Source organism: Homo sapiens, chromosome 12 (assembly GCF_000001405.40).
Source record: "Homo sapiens chromosome 12, GRCh38.p14 Primary Assembly".
NCBI lineage: Eukaryota > Metazoa > Chordata > Mammalia > Primates > Hominidae > Homo > Homo sapiens.
The window spans coordinates 65,794,784-65,817,594 of record NC_000012.12 but is presented as its reverse complement, the minus strand read 5'-3'; the positions used below and the strand labels follow the sequence as shown (position 1 = coordinate 65,817,594).

The 22,811-nt window shown below is 39.4% G+C and overlaps 1 pseudogene across 1 annotated transcript in view, besides 1 other annotated feature; it reads left to right on the top strand.

Moving 5' to 3' along the window:
* RPSAP52 (ribosomal protein SA pseudogene 52) overlaps positions 1-22,811 on the top strand; it is a 68,955-nt pseudogene that overhangs the window by 9,380 nt on the left and 36,764 nt on the right. The gene's annotated exons all lie outside the window — the stretch shown is intronic.
* Positions 18,138-18,639: an enhancer, noted in NCBI's record as "OCT4-NANOG hESC enhancer chr12:66192736-66193237 (GRCh37/hg19 assembly coordinates)". NCBI's record gives its function as "activates a minimal SCP1, AML or CMV promoter by ChIP-STARR-seq in primed H9 embryonic stem cells {active_cell/tissue: H9 hESC(primed)}" and the evidence as "EXISTENCE:reporter gene assay evidence [ECO:0000049][PMID:30033119]".

The window sequence follows — 22,811 nt, the reverse complement described above, 5'->3', positions numbered from 1 at the left end:
TCCTAGCTTTCAGTCTTACACTGTAAAAATCCATTCTTCACTGCTTTTAGAAGGATTTCTTTCTTTTTCTGATCAGTTATTGTTATTGTTCTTTTTCTCTTATCACAACTGTAATAGAAAATGCATTGTTGAAAATGCATGCGACAGAAAAGTAAAGACAAAAATTCCCCAATTATCACACCACTGAGAGAAAACTCTAAAACTATTTTAATCCTTCCGGACTTTAAGTGAACAAATACAGGTTCATACTGCACATTAGAATTTATGACTTATTTTTGTTGTTGTTGTTTGTTTTGTTTTGTTTTGTTTTGAGACGGGGTTTCGCTCTTGTTGCCCAGGCTGGAGTGCAATGGTGCGATCTCGGCTCAGTGCAACCTCCGCCTCCTGGTTCAAGCCATTCTCTGTCATGAACAGTCAAATGTAATTCTTAATTGATAAAATATTCAATCCATGCATGATTGGCAAAAGTTATAATGTGACTGGCTTTTTAGAAAAATCAATGAATTTTATTTTTACAGCACTTTTAGGTTCACAGCAAAATAGAGTGGCAAGTACAGAGAGTTCCCATATATTCTGTGTCTCCACATACATACAACCTCCCGACCTATGTATATATACATTGACACCATTTGTTACAATCCATGAACCTACACTGAAATATCATTATTGCCCAAGGTCCATAGTTTACAGTAGGGTTCACTCTTGTGGATGTACATCCCGTGAGTTTTGACAAATGTAGAATGACACGTATCCACCATTGTAGTCACATACAGAATAATAGTTTCACTGCCCTAAAAATCCCTATGCATTGCTCGTCATCTCCCCTCCCACCTAATCTCTGTCAGCCACTGATATTTTTACTGTTTCAATAGTTTTTGCCTTTCTAGATTTCATAAAGTTGGAATCACACCATATGTATCCTTTTCAGATATGCTTCTTTCAGTTAGTAATATGCATTTAAGTTTTCTCCATGCCTTGTCATGGCTTGAGAGCTAATTTCTTTTTAGCACCAAATAACATTTTATTGTTTGGATGTACTACAGTTTATCCACTCACAAAGTGAAGGATATCTTGGTTGCTTGCAAATTTTGACAATTATGAATAAATCTGCTATAAACATCCATGTGCCAGTTTTTTGTGTGTGTGTGTGTGAACATAAGTTTTCAATTCTTTTGGGTAAAGAACATGAAGCACAATTGCTGGATTGGTAAGAGTATGTTTAGCTCTGTAAAAAACTGCCAAACTGTCTTCCAAAGCAGCTATACCATTACCATTTTGCATTCCCACAAGCAAAGAATGAGAGTCCCTGTTGCTCCATCCACATCCTTGCCAGCTTTTGGTGTTACGAGTTTTGAATTTTGGCCATTCTAATAGGTGTGTAGCGGTATCTGACTGTGGTTTCAATTTGCAATTCCCTAATGACACATGATGTTGAACATCTTTTCATATGCTTATTTGCCATCTGTATATCTCCTTTTGTGGTCAGGTCTTTTGCCTATTTTTTAGAATAGGTTTTTTTTTTATTTTCTTATTTTTGAGTTTGAAGAGTTCTTTGTATATTTTCAATAAGAGTTCTTTATCAGAAGTGACTTTTGCAAATATTTTCTCCCAGTTTGTGACTTGTTTTCTCATTTTCTCGACATTGTCTTTTGCAGCACAAAAGTTTTTAATTTTTGTAAAGCCCGGATTATTCATTATTTCTTTCATGGATCATGCCTGTGGCATTGTGTCTAAAAAATCATTGCCATACTCAAAGTCATCTAGGTTTTCTCCTATGCTATCTTCTAGGAGTTTTATAATTTTGCATTTTACATTTATTAATAAATCAGAGATTTATTTTAGTTAATTTTTGTGAAAAATATAGGGTCTGTATCTAGATTTATTGTGTGTGTGTGTGTGTGTGTGTGTGTGTGTGTGTGTGTTTAATTTCAATAGTTTTTGGGGAACAGGTGGTGTTTGGTTGCATGGAAAAGTTCTTTAGTGGTGATTTCTGAGATTTTGTTGCACCCGTCACCTGAGCAGCGTACACTGCACCCAATGTATTGTCTTTTATCCTTTAACCCTTCCCTCCTCCCCGCCTATCCCCAAAGTACATGATATTATTGCTATGCCTTTGCATCCTCATAGCTTAGCTCCCACTTGTAAGCGAGAACATATAATGGTTTTCCATTCCTGAGTTACTTCGCTTAGAATAATGGTCTCCAACTGCATCCAGGTTGTGGCTTATGCCACTATTTCATTCTTTTTCATGGCTGAGTAGTATTCTATGGTGTGTGTCTGTGCATATATATATATGTCACATTTTCTTTATCCACTCGTTGGTTGATGGGCATTTAGACTGGTTCCATACTTTTGCAATTGCTAATTGTGCTGCTATAAACGTGTGTGCACATGTTTTTTTGCATATAATGACTTCTTTTCCTCTGGATAGATACATAGTAGTGGGATTGCTGGATCAGATGGTAGTTCTACTTTTAGTTCTTTAAGGAATCACCATACTGTTTTCCATAGTGGTTGTACTAATTTACATTCCCACCAGCAGTAAAAGTGCTCCCTTTTCAGAGCAGTCCCACTGGATTCTTTTTTTTGGCGGGGGGAGGGATTTGGACATCCAGTTTTTCCTGCACCATTTGTTGGAAAGATTATCTTTGCTTCATTGTACTGCCTTTGCTTCTTTGTCAAAGATCAGTTGGCTATATTTATGTAGGTCTATTTCTTCACTCTATTCTGTTCCATTGTCTGTCTTTTTTTTTTTTTTGAGACGGAGTCTCGCTCTGTCACCCAGGCTGGAGTGCAGTGGCGCGAACTCGGCTCACTGCAAGCTCCGCCTCCTGGGTTCACGCCCTTTTCCTGCCTCAGCCCCTGGAGTAGCTGGGACTACAGGCGCCGGCCACCACGCCCGGCTAACTTTTTTTGTGTTTTTTAGTAGAGACGGGGTTTCACCGTGTTAGCCAGTATGGTCTCGATCTCCTGACCTCATGATCCGCCCGCCTCAGCCTCCCAAAGTGCTGGGATTACAGGCGTGAGCCACGGCGCCCGGCCTATCTGTCTATTCTTTAACCAATATCACACTGCTCTGATTACTGTAGATTTATATAAAATAGGATTATATCAAACTAAAATGCTTCTGCAGAGCAAAGGAAACAATCAAGAGTGAAAAGACAACCTACAGAATGGGCGAAAATATCTGCAAACTCTCCATCTGAAGGGATTAATAACCGGAATATATAAGGAATTCAAACAATGCAACAGCAATAAAACAAATTATCCAATTTTAAAATGGGCAAATGATCTGAATATACATTTCTCAAAAGAAGATATACAAATGGCCAACAGATGTATGAAAAAATACTCCACTAATCGTCAGGGAAACGCAAGTCAAAACCACAATGAGATATCATCTCACACCACTTAAAATGCCTGTTATCAAAAAGACAAAAAATAACAGATGCTTATGAGGATGAAGAGAAAGGGTAACTCTTGCACATGGTTGGTGGGAAAGTAAATTAGTACAGCCATTATGGAAAACAGTATAGAAGTTCCTCAGAAAACAAAGCAATTCTATCTGTTTTTGCCTCATGTATTTTGATGCTCTGTTGTTAGGCACAAATACATTAAGAATTGTTATGCATTCTAGGAGAATTGACCTATTTGTTGTTATATAATGCTCCCTTTTAAAAGATAACTTTCCTTGCTCTGAAGTCTGCTGTGTCTGAAATTAATATAGTTACTTCCTCTTTCTTGTGATTAGTGTTAGTGTGGTGTATCTTTCTCCATCCCTTTACTTTTAATCTATGTTTTTTTATATGTAAAGTGGGTTTCTTGTAGATAACATATACTTGGGTCTGTCTTATTTTTTGATCCACTTTGAACTTTTAATCAGTGCATTTAGACTATTGCTGTTCAAAGTGATTACTGATGATATAGTTGGATTAGTATCTATGATATTTGTTACTGCTTTTTATTTGTTGCCCTTCTTTGTTCCTATTTGGTCTTCCACTCTTTTTCTGCCTTTCATGGTTTTTTTTTTTTTTTTTTTTTTTTTTTTTTTTTGAGACGGAGTCTCGCTCTGTCGCCCAGGCCGGACTGCGGACTGCAGTGGCGCAATCTCGGCTCACTGCAAGCTCCGCTTCCCGGGTTCACGCCATTCTCCTGCCTCAGCCTCCCGAGTAGCTGGGACTACAGGCGCCCGCCACCGCGCCCGGCTAATTTTTTGTATTTTTAGTAGAGACGGGGTTTCACCTTGTTAGCCAGGATGGTCTCGATCTCCTGACCTCATGATCCACCCGCCTCGGCCTCCCGCCTTTCATGGTTTAATTGAGTATTCTGTATGAATCTATTTTGTCTCTTTTCATAGCACATAAATTGTACTTTTTTTTTTTTTTTTTTTGGAGACGGAGTCTCGCTCTGTCACCCGGGCTAGAGTGCAGTGGCGTGATCTTGGCTCACTGCAAGCTCTGCCCCCCCCCGGGTTCACGCCATTCTCCTGCCTCAGCCTCCCGAGCAGCTGGGACTACAGGCGCCTGCCACCACGCCCAGCTAATATTTTTGTATTTTAGTAGAGACGGGGTTTCACAGTGTTAGCCAGGATGGTCTTGATCTCCTGACCTCGTGATCCACCCACCTCGGCCTCTCAAAGTGCTGGGATTACAGGTATGAGCCACTGCGCCTGGCCCATAAATTGTACTTTTTAAACTTTTTCTTACTTGCAATATACATTTACAATAAATTCAAGTCCACTTTCAAGTAACACTATACCACTTTATGGGTAGTGCAGGTACCTTACAATAACAAAACATCCCTAATTCCTTCCTCCCTTCCTTTTATTGTCTCCTACTGTTATTTGCTTTATTTACACATAAGAATATATAAGTATGTGTGTAAATATATATATGCAAATACACAGTTGCTTGCTATTTTGAAGAAACTGTTATCTGTTAGATCAACTAAAAATAAGAAAAATAAACGTTTTAATTTTACTTTCACTTATTCCTTCTCTGATGTGCTTCCTTTCTTTATGTAGATCTGAGATTCTGAGCTCTATCACTTTCTTTCTCCCTGAAGAGATCTTTAACATTTCTTGTAAGGCAGTTCTACTGGCAACAAATTCCCTCAGCTTTAGTCTGTCTATGAGTCTTTATTTCTCTTTCACTTTTGAAGAATAATTTTACAAGGTGCAGAATTCTAGGTTGACAGATTTTTTTTTTCTTTCAGTGCTCTAAATATTTAATTCCACTTTCTTCTTGCTTGCATGGTTTCTGAGAAGTCTGATGTAATTATATCTTTGCTCTTCTATGGGTAAAATGTTTGTTTCCTCTGTCTTCTTTCAAGACTTTTTCTTTATCTCTAATTTTCTGATGTTTGAATATATTATAGCCAGGTGTAGTTTTTGTTGTTTGTTTGTTTTGAGTTTGGGTGGGTTTTTTTGTGTTTGTCCTTGGTGTTCACTGAGCTTCCTGGATTTGTGGTTTGGTGTCTGACAATACCTTGGGGAAATTCCCAGTCACTATTGCTTCAAATATTACTTCTGTTTCTTTCTTTTTTTGCTATTCCTATTATGTGTTATGTTACACCTTTTATAGTTGTCCCACAATTCGTGGATATTCTGTTCTGGTTTTTTTGAATCTTTTTTCTATTTGCTTTTCTGTTTTGGAAGTTTCTAATGTTACATCCTTAAGTTCTGAGATTGTTTCCTCAGTCATGTCTAGTCTACTAATGAGCTCACCAAAAGCATTTTTTATTTCTGTTACAGTATTTTGATCTCTAGCATTTCCTTTTTTATTCTTTTTTTAGAATTTCCATCTTTCTGCTTACATTATAATCTGTTCTTGTATACGCTCTACTTTTTTCATTAGAGGCCTCTACTTACTTATCATAGTTTTTAAGAATTTTTCATTTGATAATTCCAACATTCCTCCCATTTCTGACTCTGGCTCTGATGCTTGTTCAGTCACTCAGACTGTGTTTTTTTGTCTTTTAGTGTGCATTGCCATTTTTGTTGAAAGGTGGACATGCTGTACTGGGTGCAAAGAACTGAGGTGACTAGACCTTCAGTAATGTAATCCTAAGGTGTGAAGGGGAGAGAGTCTTCTATAGTCCTATGATCAGGTTGCACTTTTTGGTGAGCCTGTGCCCCTGAACTGAGTGCTTCTCCCTTCTTTCCCCTGCCTGTTAGGTGGAGCAGGATGGCTATAGGAGGCTGGGGTTATTTTCCTTCCTTCAAGTAGGTTAGGCTCTAGTAAGACCCCGATAGATTGGATTCCAGTTAATAGTTTCTCCTGAGAGCAGGCCTTGTTAGGGACAAAATGCTGTTGCAAGTTTCAAAATGGGTTATTTTCCCCTTCCCTTGCCAGAAGCATGAGAAGATTTTTCTCAGATAATCACTGTGAAGACCTGGTAGAGATCCTTTACATAAAACTCACAGAAGTGTGGACAACCCCATGGCTGGAACCCCATGGAGTTTTTTAACTCTTAGGCTAGCATACTCTGAGCCTCCAGCAGTTCATCAATTATAGTTCATGTTTTCCCATCCTGGCACTGGTTCCCATTATCTCCCTATTCCCACTCTTGGAAATAATCCCTAGAACTTCCTAGAGCAGAGGTGAAAAACACTGGGTTAGGAAATAACTTTATACCTCTGATTCTAACTTATAATGGTAGATAACCCTCAGTTACAGATGAATATTGGCTTATACATTTTTTTTCTATGATACCCAATAAAAGTATTGGGAGAAAACCAGATTTATCACCTGAAAATATTAAAATAAAAATAAAATCACTTATCATATTTGTATCATAGATGAATGATTATTGTATATTTTAAGTGCAACAAATGTGTTGTCACCAAAAGGAAAATTTTAGTCTGTTCCATCATTTTCTATTTTTTGATAAAGTGTTCACTGTAACTGTTATCTCTTGTAGTACTAATAAGAAGCAGTAATAAGTGGTAAGTAGTAATAAGTAGTAATACAAATGAATGAGACAGTACCCATTTGGTGCCAAGCTTTTGGGAGAGAGAAGCAAAGTTTGGGAAGAAGCAAAAAGAAGAAAAACAAAAACAAAAACAAATCAGACCTGGATGTGAGTTCAGACTTCAAAGTGTTTACCAACTGGCCAGAGTTGCATGTACATAAGTCACTATAATTTAAACCAGAAAAATATAATTACTATCAAGTATGTGCTGAGTGAGTTCAAGGAAAAAGAGATTTCCCATGTTGTGGGGATTAAGGAAGGCTACTTGGGAGGAGTGGTGTTTTGAGAAGGCCTTGAAGGACAACTAGACACAGAGATGGGAGGACAGGGATTTCAAGCAAAGGGAGGATTATGAGAAAAGTTGCTGAAATACAAGCCCAAATGCATGTGCCAGGAGAGGTTTTACTGTATTAGTCAGATGCCAGCTGGAAATAATTCACTGCAGATGGTTCTTGTGAAGGCACTAGAATTCAAGGACCATGTATAGAGATTGGACAGGGTTATAAGAATAAAATAGAGATGTTAAGGCACCTAGATATTGGCAGCAATGGAGAGCCATTATCACTCTAGGGCTTAAGGGGTAAGGGGAAGAAATCATGTTGAAGACCCAGTGAGATTTGGAGCCCTGGAGGAGGAGCTACCTGGTAGTAGCTCAGGTCAGGAAGCAAGTGGCCATTGCCAGAAGGGAAGCACCAAAGCAGGGCAGTGGGAAGAAATATCCTGAAATTTTTCTCTTCCCACTCTTGCTTCCTTATGCCAGTGCATCCCATTGGCCAAACTTAACAAGCAGCTAACAAGCAAGGGGTTCTGGGTAACTTGGGCTACCAGCATCACCCTCTAGGTAGGGCACAGAGCAGGGCAGAGAAGGATGAAGAATAGATCTTGGGTGGCCAGTTAGTGGTAAATCAAAGAATAATCATGAGATGAAAGATTAGAAGTTTAGAGACAGCTTTGGAACATCTTAATTACCACACTAAGGAGTTTGTAAATTACTTGATAGTTGGTGCAAAGGTACTGACGCTTTATCAACAAGATAGTGACAAAACAAAAACTCCAGAAGTGAGTATGCCAGCTGAGTCAGAGTTCCATGTGTTATCAGTGTTCATGTGCCTTCTTCCATTCTATGTCCCAATTCTTTGCATCTGGTTTTCCTTGCTGTGATCACCTTATGGTTAAAGTATGGTCACTCCACCTCTAGTTTCATATCCATGACCTAGACAAAGCAATACGAAGAAAATGACAAGGACATTGAATTATCTTCAATGTCAGGGACAATGACGAGGAAACCAAATTTTTCCAGAAGTCTACAACAGAGTTTCACCACAGGGTCAACCCCAGCTGCAAGTAAGGGAGGCTGGGAAAAAGAACATTACCAGAAAAAAATCACCTGTTTTTCTTTTGTTTTGTTTTTGTTTTTGTTTTGAAAAAAAACATTATTGCATAGCAGCTAGCAGCATTTGATACAAAAGAGGAGTAGGCTTGATGGGAGAAAGACACTGTAATTCTTAATCATTTGGTCTTTTAATAATTCTAAATTTGGGTGTTGTTGCCTCAAATGGAGAAGTTGGGAAATGAGTTCTTAGGGGAATTAAGAGAGTTTCTGAGATTTGAGAGACATGGAATTTTGAATGACATCAATTTATAATAATAACATAATGGCTAAGCAGTGCTGGAAACTGAGAAAGAGGATGGAACTGGGGACAGGGAATTGAGTGGTAAAGTAGACTGGATTACTGTTTCCACTCTTCCTTACTTAATACAATTATACACTCTTGCCCTTTGCCACTGTGAGCCACTGTTTACTTACTGGCTTCATTGAAGTTGGGTTTGGCAACATGAACTTTTTGGACAAAGGTTTGACAGCAGAAATAACAAGTGCCAGTCCCAGGCCACAGAGTATTTCTGCTTGCTGCTTGAGGTTCTGAGATCCCCTGTGAGAAGAGCATGCCTGGTCCTAGGTTGAAGACACATGAAACAGATCAGAACTACTGCCAAGCCAAGCCCAGTAGAACCACAGTCAACTTGCAAACCCATAAGGAAGAAATATATGCTTATGGTTCAAGCCAGAGAATTTTGAGATTGTTTATAGGCAATACTATTGGAGCAGAAGCCTAATTCATACAAGTGGTCATTCTAAAGAACACAATAATATATACAGCAGCTCCCCACCAACTAGGATGACTATGATTAAAAAGGGAGATGAAATAAGTGCTGGTGAAGATATGGAGAAATTGGAACATTCATAAATTGCTGGTGGGAATGTAAAATGATGTCGCCACTTTGGAAAACAGTCTGGCAGTTCCTTAAAATGTTAAAAGTGGAATCACCATATGACCCAGCAATTCCACTCCTGGACATACCACCAAGAGAAATTAAAACATACATCCACGTAAAAGCTTATGCATGAATGCTTATAGTGGTACTATTCATAATAGCCAAAAAATGGAAATAGCACAAGTGTCCACCAACTGATGAATGAATAAACTCAATGTGATGTTTCCATACAATGGAATATTACCCAGCAATAAAAAAGGAAAGAAGTACTGACACATGCTACAACGTGAATGACATTACGCCAACTGATATAAGCTAGACCCAAAAGGCCACATGCTATATTATTCCATTTATATGAAATGTCCAAAGTAGGCAAATCTATTGATACAGAAAGTAAATTTGTGGCTTGGGGATAATAGGAGGAGGGATGAGGAGTGATTGTTAATAAGTGAAGGATTTCTTTTTGGAGTGATGAAAATGTTCTAAATTGATTTTGGTAATGGTTTCACAACTGTGAGTATACTAAAAACCAGTGAATTGTATACTGTAAATGGGTTAAGTGTATGATATATCTCAATAAAGCCATTTAAAATGAAGAACAAAGGATGAAGCCACAAACCTACCAACAAAACACATGCTGTGACCTGGGGGGCCGGCAATTAACCAGTCAAACCCTCTCACTTGATCTTGATTGTGACAGGTGCCATGTGTGGTTGCAAAAGCTTGCTGGGGTTATATGGGGTGCAGCCTTTGTCAGACAAACAGATTTTCTCTATGAGGTACCAACCTGCCTATATAGGGAAAAGGCATATATTCATGGCCTCATTAGCACCAGGCTTTAACTCAGTGGTTTCCAAACTCTTGGAAAAAAATATTTATTTAATAACATACACAAGTTCTACTTGAATGAATTCTCATCGTAGAACATTCAAAAATTGAGAAATAGTTGGAGTAAAATGTAAAAGTACCTCTTTACCAGCCTCCCAAGTCTACATATTATCCTCCCCAGAGGTAATGACTGGAAACAGTTCATGTATACCCTTCTAGTTCTTTATTCCAAGCACTTACATGTATATAATAGGCAGATATACAGCTTTCTTTTACATAAATGGGACCATACTCTTCACATTGTATTGAAAAATGCTCTTAAAAAACTTAACATGTCCAAAAGATCTTTCCATGAATTTTTATCAGCTGTATAGTATTTCATAGTATAGCTTGCGTTACTATGCCCCTATTAAAGAATATTAGATTGTTTCCAATTTATTGTCATTACAAAACAATGATAAAGGAGCTCTTGATACATACATCTCTGAGCATGTGTGCAAATATTTCTGCAGAATGGTTTCTAAAAGTTACATTTCTGAGTTGAAGAGAGCACACATCTCAAATTTAAAGTATTTATTATGTTTATCAGCAGAAACCTTTTCCAAACAAACTTTTACATGGAAGCGCAATGCATAGAAAGTTGAGAGGAAAGTCACTGAGCTGGGGCAGGGAAGCAGAGCTCTAAAGCTTCAACCCCTTAGCCTCTCTCTTAAACTCTGCCTCTCACTGTCCTAAGAGGCCTCTGCAGAGCCCTAGGGTTCCATGGAATACAGATTGAAAACATTGCTTTAACCAACTGAATTGACATGTTTTATTTCAGAATGTAAAGATGGATTTAAAACATGATTTACATAACAAATTAATTCCAAATGAAAGAGTTTTAACTACCTTAAGAGTAGCAGGCCAGGCATGGTGGCTCATGAAGCCCAGCACTTTGGGAGGCCAAGGTAGAAGGATAACTTGGGCCCAGCAGTTCAAGACCAGCCTAGGCAACATAGAGAGATTCTCTCTGTACCAAAAATTAATAAAAAAATGATTAGCTGGGCGTGATAGTGCAAACCTGTGGTTCCAGCTACTTGGGAGGCTGAGGTTGGAGGATTGCTTGAACCCAGGAGTTCAAGGCTGCAGTGAGTCGTGATCATGCCAGTGCACTCCGATCTGGGTGACAGAGCAAGACCCTGTCAAAAAAAAAAAAAAGACTAGCACATTCTTTTAGTTCAGCCAGTTTTAAAGCAGTAGTAGCTCCAGAGTATCTAGAGAGGAGGCATCAGGGGAGATAAGCTGATTGCTAGAAGGGGCTGGATTCATCCCGCTGCTGCATTCACACATCCAGCTCCTTGCCTAAGGTGGCTTTGGGGGGACTGAGAGTGATTGTTGAGGGTGGGATAAAGCATCCTCCTTCAAGCTACCACTTGGCTTGACCATATCATAAATGTTCCATAAATCAATACTAGATGTCAGGAAGACAGAATATTTCAGTGCTAGATTTATTTATTTATTATTATTTTTTAAATTTATTTTATTTTATTTTATTTTATTTACTTTTTGAGACAGAGTCTCACCCTGCCGCCCAGGCTAGAATGCAGTGGCCCGATCTTGGCTCATTGCAAGCTCCGCCTCCCGGGTCCACGCCATTCTCCTGCCTCAGCCTCCAGGGTAGCTGGGACTACAGGCGCCCGCCACCACACCTGGCAAATTTTTTGTATTTTTAGTAGAGACGGGGTTTCACCATGTTAACCAGGATGGTCTCGATCTCCTGACCTCGTGATCCGCCCACCTCGGCCTCCCAAAGTGCTGGCGTGAGCCACCGCGCCCAGCCAATTTTTTTAAATTTATTTTTTAAGATGGAGTCTTGCTCTGCAGCCCAGGCTGGAGTGCAGTGGCACGATCTTGGCTCACTGCAGCTGCTGCCTGCCGGGTTCTAGCGATTTTCCTGACTCAGCCTCCTTGGTAGCTGGGATTACAGGTGCCCACCACCATGTCTGGCTAATTTTTGTATTTTTAGTAGAGATGGGGTTTCACCGTGTTGGCCAGGCTGGTCTTGAACTCCTGACCTCAGGTGATCCACCCACCTCGACTTCCCAAAGTGCTGGGATTACAGGCATGAGCCACCGCGTCCGGACTCCGTGCTAGATTTTTATACATCTTTATTACCTATGGTTTTGTATTAAATCCAAGGCTTAGAAATTAGAACTTTTAGAATGCTTATATTACTATCAGCAAAAGGAGCACATCTGGCTAGCAATAAGTCTTTTGCAAACCAACACAAAACATAAGGTGATGTCACCTAATTCTAATGAAATCTTTAAATGAAGTTAAATTGAATTCTTGAATGAAATTCAAGAGCATAAAATACTTCCACAGAAGTTCAAGAGCATAAAATACTTCCACAGTAACTCATTTCAAAGACCCCACCAACATCATTTAGCTTGGAAATCATTGTGAAGATGTACAACTTATATTTCCTAATTCCATTTAATAGGAAAAAACGTAAGTAAATCTAGTTAAAGCTGTATAGTAGAGGGTACTTACTATCTGAAGTAAAAGGTTCACCAATATGTAAGAAAATAACACAAAACCCAAGACATTCAAAGACATTTCTCATCATAACATTAATTCCCTCCTTGAGAACAGAGCCTCTGTCTTTCATCTTTCTTGGGCCTTGCATACAATCAATAAATCTTTGATAAATGAATGAAAAAATGAATGGTAACCACCGCCACCAAATCTGAGTGGCCTCCCTTCCTGAAAGCAGAGGGTACATAATTTAATTAAAACGTTCCAGCCTCTTTTTAAAAGCAGTTCTAAAGAAAGAGACAGGTCTTAAAAAGTAAACCAGTTCTTTGAAATCAAAAAAAGAAACATATGTCGCTTATAAAATTCTTAAATACTACCGAAACATATAAAATGAGAAGTAAGAATCTTCTCTCACCCACTCCTGAAACTATAGCTCTGGTTCCACTCCCCAGAGGTAATTTCTGATGGCAATTTCATATTAATTCTAAATGGATTTTTTTTTTGAGGTGGAGTCTCACTGTCGCCTAGGCTGGAGTGCAGTGGCATGATCTCTGCTCACTGCAAGCTCCGCCTCCTGGGTTCATGCCATTCTCCTGCCTCAGCCTCCTAAGTAGCTGGGACTACAGGCGCCCGCCACCACACCTGGCTATTTTTTTGTATTTTTAGTAGAGACGGGATTTCACTGTGTTAGCCAGGATGACCTCGATCTCCTGACCTCATGATCTGCCCGTCTCGGCCTCCCCAAGTGCTGGGATTACAGGCGTGAGCCACTGCGCCCGGCCCAATTCTAAATGTTTTATGCATTTGTGTGTGGAGTGAATGGCTCTTACTTTTTTTTTTTTTTTCTACACAACATCATCATCTTCTCCCCGTGTTTTGGGAATTCCCACCTAATATTTAATGAGGTGGATCTTGCCTCTTGATACGACAGCTAAAAATGCCAGATATTCCCTTTTCTGGCATTTCTTGCAGCTGATGTATAAACACACCCTGGCTGCCATCACTTAGCACCCTAAACTTTGTTTTATTTTATTTTTTGTTTTTTGTAATTTCAACTTATTTTAGATTCAGGGGGTACATGTGCAGGTTTGTTACATGAGTACATTACATGATATTGAAGTTCGGGGTATGAATGATACTGTCACCCATGTCCTGAGCATAGTAACCAACAGTTAGTTTTTCAACTGTTGTTCCTTTCCCTCCTTCCCCCCTCCAGTATTCCCCAGTGTCTATTGTTCCTATTTTTATGTCCATGAGTAACCAGTGTTTAGCTGTCACTTATAAGTGAGAACATACGGTATTTGGTTTTCTGTTAATTTCACTAAGGATAATGGCCTTCACCTGCATCCATGTTGGTACAAAAGATATGATTTCATTATTTTGTGTGGCTGTGTAGTATTCCATAAACGCTAGACTTTAGAAGTCAGAGATTCCAAGAGCAGGTTACAGGCAGAATCCATGGGAGTGAGGATGGGGCAATGACTGCAGTCAGCAGTTAGATGCAGCAGTGGGTAGTGGTGCTGGCAGGGCACCAGCAGCATCAGAGATTTCCCTGATGGTGCATGGGACAGCTGCAGGGTGTGGTTTGGAGCATTGTTACTGCTTGTGTAAATTGAAAGCTGATTGTCTCAAAGTGGTGCATTGCATTTGTGCATTGCCCAGGTCTCACTGGATCCTTTTTTGCTATTTTCTGTGTGTTCCTTCTCCCCAGCATTTGAGGTGCTTTCTATTTCAAAAGCCAGTGCCTAAATCTTTCTCTCAAGGGCTGTCCTCTGGCTTGTGGAGCTAGCTTTTGCCAGAATGCATAGAAAGCTGGAAATCCTAGGAATTTGCCTTCCAAGGAGCACTCTTAACCAATGATTCAGAGATGTGGAATAAGAAAGCCCAGCTTCTGTGCCTTGAGTTGGGGCAAGACAGCCATAACTTCTGCTATACAGTTCCCCTGTGGGATCAGGCTGAAACTACCTTTGCATAGGATAGCACCCTTGATGGGTGTGGGCTTTCTCCCATTCCCTGCCTTACTTCCCCACTCTCTAGTTGGCTTCTCCTGGCATCATTTAATAAATCACTAAGACATAAATTCTCCAGGGTCTGCTTCTTGGCAATCTACCTAAGACACTCAACTTTCAGGAGATTCTGTACCAGTCAAAATCCCTTTTAAAAAATCTCCCTTTCTGTCTAAATTAGCATACATTGGTTTCTCTTGCTTGTACCTCAGTATAGATACATGCATGTATATATATACACATATGAAAATATAGACATACTATTAACAGTATTACAAAAATATTTTAGATTTTTATTCTTTGCTTTTTTTACGTTTAGCCATCTACTTTTATGTTCATTTTCGCCAGTCTATTATTATGAGGATTCTCTTCTTGCCCTCTTTCTAAGGGTTCCTTGAATTTTTCATCAATCCAGTTTGGATAGAATTGGTCCCACTTGGCTTCAGGGGTGATCTATATAATTGGCTTAAAACAACCATCAATTCCCACATTCCTCAAAGTAGGATTGGTTCACAGGATTGATCACAAGAGCAAATCTGCCCAATCAGGGCAACAAATTCCAGGACTTTTATTTAACCTTTATTTCTACCCACCTCCACTTCCACCAAAGAGCCTGATGGATTTGAGACCTTAAAGAGGCCCATGTGATGGAAGTGTAGAGTGCAAGTGGTACAATGGGCCTGAGAGGAAGTTGAAGAGATAAGCAAGTTTTTTTCTGTTGGACGATCTTGAAATTTTTGCATATTTTTTCCAAGCACAATAGAAATTTCCATTTTAATTGAACAGGAAATATGTACCTAGCTCATAGCTGTAGGCAACCATTTTGGGACTAGGAGTGGGGAGCTTGCTAGGATCTGGAGTCAATATAGCACCAGTTGAGGAAAAGAAATGGAAAAAGGGATACACTATGTAAGCCTTGAATAAATCCCAGACTGAAGGATGCCTCTGTTCTAGACCCAACCTATTTCCTTTTTTGTTTTGTTTGACACTGTTTGGGTCAGGCTTTCTGTGACTTTCACTCAGTAGGTGTGCCATGAGCTTCAGTGATTTAATATATGTAAAATGCTTAGAACCATGCCTGGCACATGGCATCCACTAGATTGTAGTAGCAGGAGTAGCAGGTGTAGAACATCACACATGACACAAACATCTTCAATTCACCTTGTTTGTCTCTGGTGCTTATAGCAGGTTTTATTCCCTTCCCCATTTCTTTGTGATTCTAACCACTCCTGAGCATCCTCCCTCCAGCTTCCTTATCCCACTTTCTTCCCATTTTCCTGTCCTCTCCCCCATCACTTCATTTTTCTCATCTTCTCTACCCTTGAAGCTTGAAGTTGTGTGAGGATGCAGAGTTTAGGATCAGGGAGAGAAACTCTGGAAGGAGATGATAATGCTTTTGTGTCTTTTTTTTTTTTAATGGGCTAGATCTTTTTTTGTCTTGTATTCGATCTGATATATCTCTCTTGCTTTTTGATGCTTAGAGCCATGATACTCCAAAGCCTTTGTTATTAACAAGGAAATAATTATCAAAAGTTGAAATCACGTCTTTCCACACTTTCTATGAAAGCATACAGCTCCTTGGTTATTCACTGAATATGCATCTTGTAGAAAAGCAGATTGCTCTTCCTTTTGATTAAATCTTTTAGCAAGGATTCTGTACTATTTTATGCTTTTTTAGTATTTTCCTTTTCAGATAAAAATGCCCATCAAATCTTTATAACATATAAATTTTCCTCTTGTGTTCAGATGAGCAATCATGCAGTACAAGGAAAAAATTCCTTGAGGTGTTTGGATGACTTCACAGTATGAACAACTGAATTTTTAGTGGCTTGGCAACAGAACCTCAAGATAGAATTTCTTTTGTAATACAGTCTTAAAATGTGCATTTCTCCAAATTCATTTACAGGAAATAGCATAAAATTAACATTAATACTGACATGACATAATAATTTACCAACCTGACTTCTCTTGCAACATAAATATACACAGAATTTTATTACTTTTTTTTTAGAGACATGGTCTAACTCTGTCACCCAAGCTGAATTGCAGTGAGTGGCATGATCATAGCTCACTGCAGCCTCAAACTCCTGGGCTCAAGTGATCCTCCCACTTCAGCCTCCCAAGTAGCTGGGAGTAGCACACAGTAGCTCCCGAGTAGCACACCTGACTAATTAATTTTTTTTTTTTTTTTGTAGAGATAGAGTCTCTATGTTGTCTATGCTGGTCTCAAACTCCTGGCCTCAAAGCAATCTTCCCATTTTAGCCTTTCAAACTGCTGGGATTACTGATGTAAGCCACCAAGCCTGACCCATACACAGACATTTTAAGTGGGAGAACTCCAGCTTAATAATTGTAACACAGAGTAACAATATAAAATGATTCAAAGTATAGTATTTTTCTCATGAATTATGAATGACGTGATTTAGATTTATTTTCCCCATTTATATCTTTCCAAGCCATGATTTAAATTATTTGACATTCATCTTTCAGCTTTTAATCTACTTATCATTTATTTGTTCATATTTGCAGTCAGCGAATAACTATGGCGTGTCTGTTGTACACAGAGCACTGTGCTAGGTGCTAATAAAGAGGGAGAGGGAATAAAAGTGAATAAGTCCCTTCACCTAAGAGCTTACAGTTGAGTAGGAGCAAGACCCAACACACAAATAACACTCAAAATAATGTAAAGGCATGACATATGAGGCAGGGAGAGAGAAGAAAAAATAAGGTCAGGCAAGTGAATGGTTAATCAAAGGGGAAGAAGTAAAGCCTGATACATATGTGTGTCTTAAATTATTCCATCTGGAAGAGTGTATGAAAGGGAGCAGCAAAAGGTAAGAGCAGACAGCTAGCACAGGCCAGACCATGGAGGGCCATGAGGCCAGTCTAAGCATTTCATGGTCGGCAGAAGCCCAAGGTTACTTGTAGGGACTCCAAGGATTAAATCTGGCCTTTAGGAATGTTGATCTGTCAGAATTGTACAGAATAGAATGCAAATGGATACAAACTAGAGATGTTGTGGTTGATGTTGTGCCAAATATTTCATTTTCCTTAGACATATACAGCTCTCGCCAACATTGGTGTGCCATTCAATGACACTTTTCCATAAATATTGGGGCTATGGAGAATAAAGAGATGAGACCTGGAGCCCAAGTCCATAGCTGAAAATAGAGTTATGCTGTGGAACCCAGAGAGTCTGAAAGATTTGCTGAGAATGCTTAAAATGACTCCACAAGGAGCAGGTTTTCACGACTCCTGGGACATTGTGGATGGAGATGGCAAATTGGATCCACTATTCTTTTAATTCCATGAAGTTGCACCATATGTTTATAAATAGTGCTTTTGTGATGACCCTAATTGAGGGAGATTGAGTGCTATAACTGGCCTGTTTCTGACTCTCTATTGTCTAAGATCTTGCATTCTTTTAAAAGTTGAAACAGAAAACTAGAGTAAATTACACATATCTGCTACCCAAAGGATTTATATTTTCCTTTTGTTTGTTCTTAAATACCATCATTCCTTTCATCTGGTGACTGTTCAGTTGCAGGACAGAGTGTCATAAAGCCAGATATCCTGTCCTGTGAATTCCCCTCCACTTCGTGAAATTAAGAGGTAAGAGGGGCATGGAAGGAGGAAAGGAAAAAGGCAGAGGAAGTTCTGTTTCACTGAAGACCTAACCCCCAAATAAAAGAAAAATATGTTAGCACACAGAAAATTTCTGATTAGCCACAAGCTTCAGTGTTGTCACTGGTGCTGGTTTACTTACTCCATCTGATGAGAAATGGAGACAGCATGAATTTCAACAGCGTGCTGAAATGGGCTGTGATGGCACTCAGGCTAAGTGCCGACAGAAGGGGCCCACCTGCCTTGCTATGCAGATGAGGTCTGAGTGTGTGAGGACTTCAGCTGCCCTTAAGAGGTGGCTGCTGGCCTCCCTCATCCCAGCTCTCCTCCAGGCCCTTCCATCTTGCACTGGTCAATTGTGCCAATGAATTTACCTTTCTGTGGTCAATGAAGAAGATAGACAAGGTTTGATTGAACAATACATTCAAATATTCTATGAGCATTGCCCAGCAAGCAATTTGATTTTAATGCTAATGTGGTACATTCTACATTTCAGATGTGAATAGGGCTTTTCCTTCCTCTTTTTCTCTCTCTCTCTCTGCTTTCCTGTCTTTCCTCATCATCCCATTCTTCTTTCCTTTCGTCTCTTCCTTCCTGCCCCCTTTCTCTCCTTCTTTCTTTCCTTTCTTCCTTTGTTCTTCTTTTGGGGGAGCAGTAAGTAACTTTCATGTTATACAAGTTCAGAGAAATTAAAAGAGGATTTGTACTATGCTCAGGAAAAAAAGTGCTGCCTTCAGGAAATGGGAGGTGTTGTCTTCTGACTTACATTGTCACAGAAAGCATGGGTTTGTCTTAAGTTAGGTTTGTAACTATGGGTAGTTGGTGTGGGCATTTCTGGTCAAGGAAATCTGCACTTTGCGTAGGAGTAATCAGACTGTTTATCCACAACACTGATATTTGCAAGCACACCATGGGCTTTTATCCTGGCCACACACTTCCACCAACTAAGGCCAACAAATGGTTGTGTGAGTACCGATCTCTGTGATAGAAGCAGCTGATGGTGAAGCATCAGTTGTTCTGCCTTCTGTGGCTGTACCTGTAACATTCTGACAGCCTCTTGAACAAAAGAATTGTCCCTAGAGCCACACAGGAGACTTACATTATATATCAGTTTCCTAGGGCTGACATAAAAAATTACTACCAATTGTGTGTAACAGAAATCTGTTCTAAAAGCCAGAAGTCTACTTCTAAAAGCCAGAAGCCTGCAATCAAGACACCAGCAGGGTTGGTTTCTTCCAGAGACTCTAAGGGAGAATCTTCTATGCCTCTCTTCCAGCTTCTGGTGACAGCTGGCAACCCTTGGTTTGTAGGTTTACCACTCTAGGCTTTGCTTCCGTCTCCATGTCGCTTTCCTCTCTGCATGTCTGTGTCTCAAATCTCCTTCTCCTTTCTCTTATAAAGACACCAGCCATTATCGTTAGGTCCCATCCTGCATCCAGGATGATCTCATCTTGAGATCCTCAACTTAATTACATCTGCAGTGACCCTACTTCCAGAAAGGTCACATTCACAGAATCAGGGGTTACAACTTGTACATACATTTTTGTGGGATACAATGCAACCCACCACACACTGCTGCCTTAAAACAGAAAAGTCAGAGACAAAAATCTGTAAAGCTTTGGCCGGGCCTGGTGGCTCACACCTGTGATCCCAGCACTCTGGGAGGTCGAGGTGGGCAGATTGCTTGAGTCCAGGAGTTTGAGACCAGCCTTGGCAACCTGGTGAGACCCCGTCTCTACCAAAAAAAAAAAAAAAAAAATACAAAAAACATTAGCCAGGAGGGGTGGCATGCTCCTGTAGTCCCAACCATTCAGGAGGCTGAGGCAGGAGGATCACCTGAGCCCAGGGGGTTGAGGCTGCAGTGAGCCAAAATCGTGCCACTGCACTCCAGCCTGGGCAACAGAGAAGACCTTGTCACAAAAAAAATCAATCAATCAATCTGTAAAACGAAATCAACATTTAAGCCAATGGGAAAGGATTATTGAGCTCCAGGATTAATTTGGGACTTGTCATCAAACAAATAGAACACAGGCTCCATTTGCTCATAATCTTTTTGTCTAGAATGATTTCTTTTGAGTTTTGTAAAGGAAGTTCTCCTTAAACACTGATGTCACATTTCCAGTCATTTCAGAAACCCAACAGAGGAAAAACAAGACTGCTAAGTTGCTTCCACAATGTTTTGCTGAAAAATTAAAAATGACTGCAAGGGAAAAAAACATGCAGATGGCTTCACTGAAGATTATCTTGGGGTTAAGAAGCATGATCTATTAGCTAAGGCTTGATCTCTCAGGAGACAGAATCCAGAGGAAAGTTAAGGGTAGTTTTGGTTAAATCAGTTTAGCAGTTTTAATACACTCAAGTCAAATGGTCAGTTTGAAAAAAAGAAACCTGTCAACCTCATTGTTTTAATTCTAAACTAAAATCAAATGGTAAGTTTCATTTAACCATCAGAAAGTCTCTGATGGACCATAACTTTTTCATGCTTCTACTATTATAATCATGCTATTCCCCTGCCTCAGGGTGGGAAAAAAATGAGTGAGTCGCTCTAATAGATTAGTGTTTTCTGTGAGCAGACCAGCCTGCACAATTTTATGATTGCTGACAACTCCTTTTTATACACTTCCCTATTTTGTTGATATCTCTATACATTCGCTCAATGGAACGCATTTGGTGTTTTCTGAAGTGAGAACTTGCATTTATTTACCTACATATTTTTTGACATCTCTGCTGATTTTGTATGCAGGGAAGTCCTTTGAAAAGCTGATACTTAAGGAAGATAATTCAGTGAGCACACCTAGTTATTAGTCTGAAAGCTGGAGACACTGGGTAACTACCTCATGTTCCTGGGTCAAGTAATATTAATAAGACCTTAACCTGGAATTCAATTCTTAGTGCCCATATTAAAAAATGACTGCAACAATGCATGCCACTAACGTTCTTTGCACACTGCCATTCCAGATGACCTGTACCTCTGAGTCCCTCCAACACTGTGAACCATCAGGAATGGACTTTCTATCTTTGCACTTCTCTTGCGGGACATTACAACCTATAACCATTAGCCAGAAAATGGTTAAAATTGATACTATAATGATAATTCTGATGTTAAGGTAACTTAAGGCAATGCTCAGATTTTGACAATAATTGCACAAGAAGATATGATAGTTTGGCATGTTGATATTATTTCAATAAGAAAAACAGCATTGTAATTACTGGCTGCACAGACATTTGGAGTCACATATATGCACTATCAGAAGCACAGAGTGGGACCCTCTTATAGAGCCATGTGATTCTCTTGGTTGTATTTATGGACCTAGGCACTAACACCTGGGAAAATACTATGAAATATAAACCTTAATTGAAATATGCTCATCATGCTTAATTGGAGCATGCTCCCGGGAAAGTAGAGGAGGTTTCTGCCTATGTTAAAAATTGCAAAATAGGGCCCAAAGGTAACACAATTTTCTTCTTTTAGTAGAGTTTTTTATTTAACAAAACTATAACAAAGCTGTAAGACAAATATCTAATGTGCTTGGCTCATTAACAATACTTATTTTTCTAATCAGAATTAATATTCTACCATATTTTCTTTGGAAATAGCAATATTGATATTTATATGAAATGCAAACAAATGATGCAATGTTCCATATTTTACAGTTTTTTACTGTGATATATTCATTCTTTAAAATTTTATGTTAGCTCAACTACCAAAAAAATGCTTACACAGTACTTTTCAAGATAATATATTGCTCCATTATAGCAAATGCAGTATGACTTGGGCTTAGGAATTGGAAGCTAAAAAGCAATCTTTGTACATGTGTTCATTATGTCTCAAACAAGGCTCTTTTGGTAGGTCTTGGACCACTGATAAGTTATTTCAAGGCACAATTTCCAAGCATGTGGCAAAACTGTTTAAATATACAGTATAGATGTAGATATAGACATACATATGGATATATTTCAGGGCACTATTAAAATATCTTTAAAGGGAACATCCTTGGCAGCAAAGGGAAAATATTAAACCTGTAATTCTAAAAAATTAAATGGGCCAGGCAAGGCAGCTCACATCTGTGATCCCAGCACTTTGGGAGGCCATGGCAGGAGGATCACTCAAGCCCAGGAGTTTGAGACCAGCCTGGGCAACATAGAGAGACCCTGTTCCTACAAAAATGAAAAAAATTAGCCAGATATGGTGGTGCATGCCTGTAATCCCAGGTACTTGGAAGACTGAGATGGGAGGATCGCTTGGGCCCAGGAGGTCAAGACTGCAATGAGCCATGATCACACCACTGCACTCCAGTCTGGGAGACAGAGCAAGACCCTGTCTCAAAAAAGAAAACAACAATAACAACAAAATTAAATGAACTTCACAAGAAAAAGGAAAGTTGATTTTGACTTTTGATATTTTGGTGGTTCTGTGAATTATAGATCTTACTCGGTAAAATCACAAATCTCTAAACTCCATCTATTTACTTTGCCATGAAAGCACATTAAAATATGTTTTGTTGTTGTTGCTGTTGTTGTTGTTGTTGTTTTTTAAGACGGAGTCTCGCTGTCGCCCATCTCGGCTCACTGCAGGCTCCGCCCCCCAGG